The sequence below is a fragment of the Homo sapiens genome, chromosome 16 (genome assembly GCF_000001405.40).
Source record: "Homo sapiens chromosome 16, GRCh38.p14 Primary Assembly".
Classification (NCBI taxonomy): Eukaryota; Metazoa; Chordata; class Mammalia; order Primates; family Hominidae; genus Homo; species Homo sapiens.
In genome coordinates this window covers 31010640-31020088 of record NC_000016.10, presented here as the reverse complement: position 1 = coordinate 31020088, position 9449 = coordinate 31010640, and the positions used below count along the sequence as shown (strand labels likewise).

Sequence of the window (9449 nt, the reverse complement as noted above, 5' to 3'; positions counted from 1 at the left end):
CTCTACTAAAAATACACAAAAAAATTAGCTGGGTATGGTAGTGTGTGCCTGCAATCCCAGCCACTTGAGAAGCACTCAGGTGATCTGCCCGCCTCGGCCTCCCAAAGTGCTGGGATTATAGGTGTGAGCCACCGCACCTGGCCCCCATTTGACTAATCTCTGCCTCCCCGTGCCACCTGGCACAGGACCTATTACACCTGTTGTGCTCAGGAACAAAAGAATGAATACCCATTTGACCTATCCATCCATTAACCAGTAAATCTTTATTCAGGCCCCACTCTTTGTACCAGGACGATGCTCTGATGCTACATAGAGACACAGTGGTGAGCAAAGCAAGTGTTCATCTGGGCAGGGTGCAGTGGCTCACATCTGTAATTCTAGTGCCTTGGGAGGCCAAGGCGGGAGAATTGCTTGAGGCCAGGAGTTTGAGACCAGCTTGGGCAGCATAATGTCTCTACAAAAAATTTTAAAATTACTCGGCATGGTGGCATGTTCCTGTAGTCTCAGCTACTCAGGGGGCTGAGGTGGGAGGATCACTTGAGCCCGCGAGCGCAAGGCTGCAGAGCAGAGAGTCCTGATTGTGCCACTGAACTCCAGCCTGGGCGACAAAGTGAGATCCTGTTTCAAAAAAGGACTTCTCTAAAGTCTTTCAATAAAATTTAATTCTTTTCTCTCATAAAGGACATTAACATATGTTTTAAAGATTTATTCTTAAACGCTATAGTTTTTTGTTTTGTTTTGTTTTGTTTTGAGATGGGGTCTTGCTCTATCGCCCAGGCTGGACGGCAGTGTCATGATCTCGGCTCACTGCAACCTCCGACTCCTGGGTTCAAACAATTCTCCTGCTTCAGCCTCCCGAGTAGCTGGGACTACAGGCATGTGCCACCACACCCAGGTCATTTTTTATATTTTTAGTAGAGATGGAGTTTCACTGTGTTAGCCAGGATGGTCTCGATCTCCTGACCTGGTGATCCGCCCGCCTTGGCCTCCCAAAGTCCTGGGATTATAGGTGTGAGCCACCGTGCCCAGCGATTTTTTTTTAACTAATTAAATTTTTTCCTTAGAGACAGGGTCTTGCTATGTTCCCCAGGCTTGTCTTGAAATTCTGGCCTCAAGTGATCCTCCTAACTCAGCCTCCCAAAGTTCTGGGATTACAGGTGTGAGCCACTGCACCCTGCCAGGTACTATAGATTTCTATAAATGGCATTTTTACATTTCCTAGTAGTTTGCTGGTAAGATTTATAAAGGCAATGTATTTCAAGATCTTTCACTTTTTTTTTTTGAGATGGAGTCTCGCTTGTTGCCCAGGCTGGAGTGCAGTGGCATAATCTCAGCTCACTGCAACCTCTGCCTCCGGGTTCAAGTGATTCTCCTGCCTCGGCCTCCTGAGTAGCTAAGATTACAGGTTCGCACCATCATGCCTGGCTAATTTTTGTATTTTTAGTAGAGACGGGATTACACCATGCTGAACAGGTTGGTCTCGAACTCCTGACCATGTGATCTGCCCACCTCGGCCTCCCAAAGTGCTGGGATTACAGGCATGAGCCACCACGCCCAGCCAAGATCTTTCTCTTATTCCATCAAACTTACTCCACATACAGTAACAGCAAGAGACCCAGGAGTGATCTAGGACCCTCCTCCCTCCTTCATCACCTGTTCCAATCTGCAATCGTGTCTGACAAATTTCCCCCCATGACACACCTGTGTAATGGATGTTCCATCCCCACCTTTAGGCCTCGGTGCAGGCCTCATTATTTTTGGCCTGGGTGATTCCTAACTGATCTCCCCATCAACCTTCACAGAGCCAGAGCTACTGCCAACTTGACTGCACCTTGGTGGAAATTAGTTAAAGGCATTCTTTCCTCATGACACTGTACCTCCACCTGTCAGATAATTGTTATAATAAATATTCAAATACATGATGTCTGGGATGTGAGCAGTGCTTCTGGGGCGTACTGCTTCACGTAGTGCACTCTGGCACAGCCATCTGTGGTGGTCCCGCACACGGCCACCAGCAGGATCTTTGCAAAATGAAAGTTTGATCATGGTATTCTGTTAGGGGTTCAATGTTTGTGCTCCACCCCAGCTGCATTCATATTTTTGTGTGTGTGTTTTCTTGAGATAGAGTCTTGCTCTGTCACCCAGGCTGGAGTGCAGTGATGTGATCTTGGCTCACTGCAATCTCCGCCTCCCGGGCTCAAGTGATCCTCCCACCTCAGCCTCCCGGAGTTCGAGATCAGCCTGGCCAACATGGTAAAACCCTGTTTCTACTAAAAATACAAAAATTGGCTGAGCGCGGTGGCTTACACCTGTAATCCCAACAATTTGGGAGGCTGAGGCGAGCAGATCACCTGAGGTCGGGAGTTGGAGACCAGCCTGACCAACACAGAGAAACCCCGTCTCTACTAAAAATACAAAATTAGCCGGGTGTGGTGGCACATGCCTATAATCCCAACTACTCGGGAGGCTGAGGCAGGAGAATTGCTTGAACCCGGGAGGCGGAGGTTGCAGTGAACCGAGATCGCGCCACTGCACTCCAGCCTGGGCAACAAGAGCGAAACTCCATCTCAAAAAATAAAATAAAATAAAATAAATAATAAAAATTAGCCAGGCATGGTGGTGCATGCCTGTAATACCAGCTACTCAGGAGGCTGAGGCAGGAGAATCACTTGAACCTGGGAACCAGAGGTTGCAGTCAGCCAAGATCACGCCACTGCACTCCAGCCTGGGTGACAGAGCCAGACTCCATCTCAAAAAAAAAAAAGAAAAAAAAATTAGCACTTTGGGAGGCCGAGGCGGGTGGATCACGAGGTCAGGAGCTCGAGACCACGGTGAAACCCCGTCTCTACTAAAAATACAAAAAAAATTAGCCGGGCGCGGTGACGGGCGCCTGTAGTCCCAGCTACTCAGGAGGCTGAGGCAGGAGAATGGCGTGAACCCGGGAGGCGGAGCTTGCAGTGAGCCAAGATCGCGCCACTGCACTCCAGCCTGGGCGACAGAGCAAGACTCCGTCTCAAAAAAAAAAAAAAAAAAAATTAGCCAGGCATGGTGGCGCATGCCTGTAATAATCCCAGCTATTGGGGAGGCTGAGGCAAGAGAATCGCTTGAACCCAGGAGGCGGAGATTGCAGTGAGCCGAGATTGCGACATTGCACTCCAGCCTGGGCAACAGGAGCGAAACTCTGTCTCAAAAAATAAAATAAAATAAAATAAAATAAATAAAATAAGATAAAATAAATAATAAAAATTAGCCAGGCATGGTGGTGCGTTCCTGTAATCCCAGCTACTCAGGAGGCTGAGGCAGGAGAATCGCTTGAACCTGGGAGGCAGAGGTTGCAGTCAGCCAAGATCGTGCCACTGCACTCCAGCCTGGGCGACAGAGCCAGACTCCATCTCAAAAAAAAGAAAAAAAAAATTAGCCAGGCGTGGTGGTGCGTGCCTGTAATCCCAGCTACTGGGGAGGCTGAGGCAAGAGAATCACTTGAACCCAGGAGGTGGAGTTGCAGTGAACCAAGATGGCGCCACTGCACTCCAGCCTGGGTGATGGAGTGAGACGCTGTCTTGAAAAAAAAAAAAATAGGCTTTTGAGACAGAAACTACCACCCCATCTTGAAAATCAGTTATTCTTTTTTGCTTTTATTTTTCCCCTCCTTTCCTTTTATGCTGGGTTTTTAATAATGGTTAACTAGTGCTTGGCATAAAGAACTCCAGGAAGTGGCCTTGAAAAACTAAGCAGGGAATCAAGGTTGCAGCATGTCCAGCCCTGGGAAGAATGCTGAGTGCCTCCTGTATTCCTGTTGCACCCGAACCAGTGCCAGCCAGACCACCAGATGGCCCACTGCTCAAGACTGTCAATGAGACCAGACACACTGACCCACCTCGAGTCAACCTGTGCATAGCTTCCATATATCCCCTCTCATAACCACCCCCTCTCATAACCAACCCCCACCGGCTGGGCGCGGTGGTTCATGCCTGTAATCCAGCACTTTGAGAGGCCGAAGTGGGGGGCTGCTGGTTGTAGGGGCATCACTTGAGCTCAGGAGTTTCAGGCCAGCCTAGGGAACATAGCAAGACCCCATCTCTACAAAAAAAATCAAAAAGTGAGCCAGGTTGGTGGCACGTGCCTGTAGTTCCAGCTATTTCAGAGGCTGACATGGGAGGATCGCTTGAGCCTGGGAGATCAAGGCTGCAGTGAACTATAACTGTGCCACTGTACTCCAGCCTGGATAACAGAGTGAGAGCTTGTCTCAAAAAAACCCAGCCAGCCTGAAAATTTTGAGATGAGACTTTCAGACATTAGTCTGCCATCTCCTCGGTTTGCTGGCTCTCCGAATAAACCTGCTTTCCTCCTACCAACTCTTTTTTTTTTTTTTTTTTTTGAGACAGAGTCTCATTCTGTCGCCCAGTCTGGAGTGCAGTGGCATGATCTCGGCTCACTGCAACCTCCACCTCCCGGATTCAAGCGATTCTCTTGCCTCAGCACCCCCGAGTAGCTGGAATTACAGACGTGAGCCACCATGCCCATCTAATTTTTGTATTTTTAGTAGAGACGGTTTCGCCATGTTGGCCAGGCTGGTCTTGAACTCCTGACCTCAGGTGATCCACCCATCCTGGCTTCCTAAAGTGCTGGGATTACAGGCATGAGCCACCGTGCTCAGCCCCCAACTCTCGTCTCGTGTTTAGCATTTGGGCAGTGAGCAGCTGAGCCTGGATTTGGCTATGCTTTCCCTCTAGCGTCAGGAGGGCCAAGAAAGACACCGTAGTTGAACTTTGATAGAAGAGCAGGAGGTGGGCTTGGGGATGTTAGAGGGAAGGGAGTTCCAGGGGACAAGAATGACACGAGGAAAGGCATGGAGATATAAAAATGCAGGGAATAACGGGATAGGAGTAGAAGGTGCGTGGGAATAGGTGGCATGCCCTAAAGTGGAAAGCCAGGTTAGGAAATTGGGGCTTTACCCCATAAGCAATGGGAAACCAGGGAAATTTTCTGATCAGGGGCTGGCCTGGTTATATCAATGCTTTAAAAATTTGGCCAGGCACAGTGGCTCACACCTGTAATCCCAGCACTTTTGGGAGGCCAAGGCAGGTGGATTGCTTGAGGTCAGGAGTTCAAGACCAGCGTGGGCAACATGGTGAAACCCTGTCTCTACAAAAAATACAAAAAAATTAGATGGGTGAGATGGCACATGCCTGTGGTCCCAGCTACTTGGGAGGCTGAAGTGGGAGGATCGCTTGAACCTGGGAGGTGGAGGTTGCAGTGAGTGGAGATTGTGCCACTGCACTCCAGCCTGGGTGACAGAGCAAGGCGCCATCTCAAAAAAAAAAAAAAAAAAAAAAGGGTGGGGGGCACTGGGTAGGAGACTGCATAGGAAGTTCCTTCATGATTCAGATGACTCACTTTGGGTAGCCCATAAGTGGTCATGAATGTAATGAGCTTGAAATCACTGATCAGTGAGAGGAATTGCCATATGTGTGTGCCTGTGTCCATCTTTAGAGCTGCAGACAGATTTGAGTGGTGCGCCATTCACTCATTCATTCCTATAACACATAATTACTGAGCGCCTACCATGTGCCAGGTGCCGTGGAGCCACTGGAGAACCAGCAGTGAACACACAACAGACAAAACTCCCTGCCTTCACAGTTTGCTTTGTTCTTTATGCCTGGGTAAAACGGGTGCAGGAATATGCCATTTATTCATTCTGATTTTTTTGTTTGTTTGTTTTTGAGACAGAGTCTTGCTCTGTCTCCCAGGCTGGAGTGCAGTGGCACGATCTTGGCTCACTCCAACCTCCGCCTCCCAGGTTCAACCATACTTGTTGCCTCAGCCCCCAGAGTAGCTGGGATTACAGGCACATGCTACCACACCTGGCTAATTTTTATATTTTTATTTTTTATTTTTATGTATTTATTTATGTATTTTTGAGATGGAGTTTCGCTCTTATTGCCCAGGCTGGAGTGTAATGGCATGATCTCGGCTTACTGCAACCTCCGCCTCCCAGGTTCAAGCAATTCTCCTGCCTCAGCCTCCCTAGTGCCTGGGATTACAGGCATGTGCCACTACGCCTGGCTAATTTCATATATTTAGTAGAGACAGGGTTTCTCCACGTTGGTCAGGCTGGTCTCGAACTCCCCACCTCAGGTGATCCACCTGCCTCAGCCTCCCAAAGTGCTAGGATTACAGGCATGAGCCACTGCGCCCGGCAGGTCACATTTGTTTTGGGGGCAATCACATTAAGGACTGGGGAGGAAGACATATGTAAAGGAAAGGGGCTTTGTTCAAGTGGGAAGACCAGAGAGAGAAGGCTGTGCTGACGGCCCAGGTGAAAGACAGTGAGGGCCTAGACTGACCTGAGGTGGTGGGGACAGGAGAGGGCCTAGAGACGGCTCTGGGTGTCACAGTTGAGAGAGGAGCTATAAGAGCATGCTTTTACAAGAATGGGTTGTGAGCCAGGTGCAGTGGTGTGCCCCTGTAGTCCCAGCCACTCAGGAGGATGAGGTAGGAAGACTGAGCCCAGGAGTTTGAGTCCAGGCTGGGCAACAGAGTAAGACCCCATCTCTTAAAAAAGAAGAAGAAGAAGAAGGAGAAGGAGAAGGAAAAAAGAAAGAAGAAAGAGAAGGAAGAAGAAGAAGAGGAAGAGGAAGAAGAGGAAGAGGAAGAAGAGGAAGAGGAAGAAGAGGAAGAGGAAGAAGAAGAAGAAAAGAAGAAGAAGAAGAAGAAGAAGAAGAAGAAGAAGAAAGAAGAGGAAGAGGAAGAGGAAGAGGAAGAGGAAGAAGAAGAAGAAGAAGAAGAAGAAGAAGAAGAAGAAGAAGAAGAAGAAGAAGAAGAAGAAAGAAGAAAAGAAGAATGGGCTTTGCAATCAAAAGATACAAACAAGGTCAGACACAGTGGCTTATGCCTATAATACCAGCACTTGGGAAGCCGAGGTGAGAGCCCAGGAGGCTAGGACCAATCTCGTCTCTGCAAAAAAAAGAAAAAAAGAAAGTTAAATTAGGGCCAGGCACAGTGGCTCACACCTGCAGTCCCAGCACTTTGGGAAGCCAAGGCGGGTGGATCATTTGAGGTCAGGAGTTCCAGACCAGCCTGGCCAACATGGCGAAACCCTGTCTCTACTAAAAATATAAAAATTAGCCAGGCATGGTGGCAGGCACCTGTAATCACAGCTACTTGGGAGGTTGAGGCAGGAGAATCACTTGAACCCAGGAGGCGGAGATTGCAGTGAGCCAAGATCGCGCCATTGCACTCCAGCCTGGGTGACAGAGCGAGACTCTCTCTCAAAAAAAGAAAGAAAGAAAGAAAGAAAATTAGCTGGACACAGTGGTGTACACCTGTAGTCCCAGCTACTCAGGAGGCTGAGATGGGAGGATTGCTTGAGCCCAGGAGGTCAAGGCTGCTGTGAGGTGTGATTGCACCACTGCACTCCAGCCTGGGGAACAGAGTGAGACCCTGTCTCTGGAAAAAAAAAAAAAAAAGCAAACAAGACCCCAGCCCTGCCCTTTATTAACCTTGTGAACTTGGATATGTTATGTGACCATGCAAAGCCTCAGTGTCCTTGTCTATACACTTGGGATCTTAGCAGTGGCTACTGTGAGGTTGGGAGGTTTCTGGGAGCTACCAGCATAGTGAATGCAACACGTTGGATGCCCAGAACGTGCTGGCATTATAATGGCGGGGAGGCAAGGACAGCTTTCTGTGCTTTGAGTGGCTGGGTGGATGGAGATGACGCCATCTCTGAGGGAGAACACAGGAAGGAACACTTTGGGGACAGCCACCTCCTTGAGGTCCCCACGTCAGCGCTAGCCATGCCCACTGTAGTCATGGATCTACTCATGGCTCTGGTGGCATCTTCAATCTCTGTCTTCTTGGTGCCCAGCTCAGAGCTTAGGCATATAGTAGGGGCTGTCTTACAGGGGGAGGATCTGGCTCGCAGGTACAGATGTGGGCACTGCAGACACGGAGGTGCAGAAAGATGCAGGTAAAGAAGGAAGAGAATGCCAGGCATGGTGGCCCAGGCCTGTAATCTCAGCACTTTGGGAGGCTGAGGCAGGAGGATCGCTTGACCCTAGGAGTTCAAAACCAGCCTGGACAACATAGTGAGACCCTGTCTCTACAAAAAATAAAATTAGCCAGGTGTGGTGGCGCGTGCCTGTAGTCCCAGCTACTCAGGAGGCTGAGGTGGGAGGATCACTTGAGCCTGGGACGTTGAGGCTGCAGTGAGCCGAGATTGCACCACTGTACTCTAGCCTGGGCAACAGAATGAGACCCTAACTCAAAAAAAAAAAAAAAGAGAGAATGGACGGAGCCCAGGGAACCCTGAGGTTGAAGGGCTGTGGGAAAAAAGGTAAGGACCTGGAAAGAGGCTGGGAGACAACACTCACAGATCAGGTTGGGGGGTAGGTGGGCGGAGCACCACAGACAGGAGGGTTTCAGGAAGAGGGGCTCATCAGGGTCACATGCTGCTGAGAGGTCAGGGATGGTAAGGCCCGACTGGCGGTGTGGGATGAGGGTTTATCAGACACAGATTTGGCACCAAGGAGGTCACTGGGTACCTGGCAAGAGAATGCCGGGTGCGGTGGCCCAGGCATGGAATCCCAGCACTTTGGGAGGCTGAGGCAGGAGGATCGATTGAGAGTCAAGACCTGTCCCATTGGGGACCGGCGCCCCATTGCAGGGGGTGGGAGGAGCTGGTGTGGTGTAAGGATGGGGAGAGGAGAGGTGGGCATCAGAACAGGAGGTCACTCAGACCCTCAGGGGCACCTGATTTCCCCTCCCACTAAGGACAAATTTCATGTTCAACAGTCAGAGCCATCTGCAGATGGGCCAAGAGGTCCTGGGAGGTAGTGAGCACCCTGTCCCTGGAGGCAGACAAGCAGAGCTCCGAGACCCACCGCGGCGGGAGAGGCCCAGGCTGTGCAACACAAGCCCCGTGTCCTTCTCAGCAAGCACCTGGCTGGTTCCCTGCATCGTAAAAACCACACAGAGGGTCGGTCTTTCTATTTATAGTGTCCAAAGAGCCTCCTGCAAGAACACACATGGGCTCGCACCCAGAGGTGGTCGGCGCGCAGCCTCACGCAGACACCAGACACAAAACACAGCCGCGATCTGTGTCTCCTGGAAAGGGATCCACATCCTGGCTCCCAGGTTATTCCCTGAATTCATTCCGTCACCCCCTCTTTCCGCCGGGCCACCCCACCCCCCGGGCCACCCTAGCATCTCCGCTTGGCTCTCCGCATCTCTCCCTGCTCCTCGGGCTCTGCCCACCCCCACCCGCCTCCAGGCCTCTCCCGCCCCCTCCTCGGGTGTCCCCCAAGCCCGTGACTACAACCCCCAGGCGCCCCCGGCCCGGGTGCTGCGCATGCCCCCTGCTCCTTGCGCGCTCCCGCTCCCCCCGCCCTCGCTTCCTCCTCACCTCCCTCCGCCCCCCTCCCCCGCGCTCGGCTCCCGCATCCCTC

General features: G+C 50.8%; 1 annotated feature.

Annotated features, from left to right (window-relative positions):
* Window positions 8914-9415: an enhancer, noted in NCBI's record as "H3K4me1 hESC enhancer chr16:31021995-31022496 (GRCh37/hg19 assembly coordinates)". NCBI's record gives its function as "activates a minimal SCP1, AML or CMV promoter by ChIP-STARR-seq in naive H9 embryonic stem cells {active_cell/tissue: H9 hESC(naive)}" and the evidence as "EXISTENCE:reporter gene assay evidence [ECO:0000049][PMID:30033119]".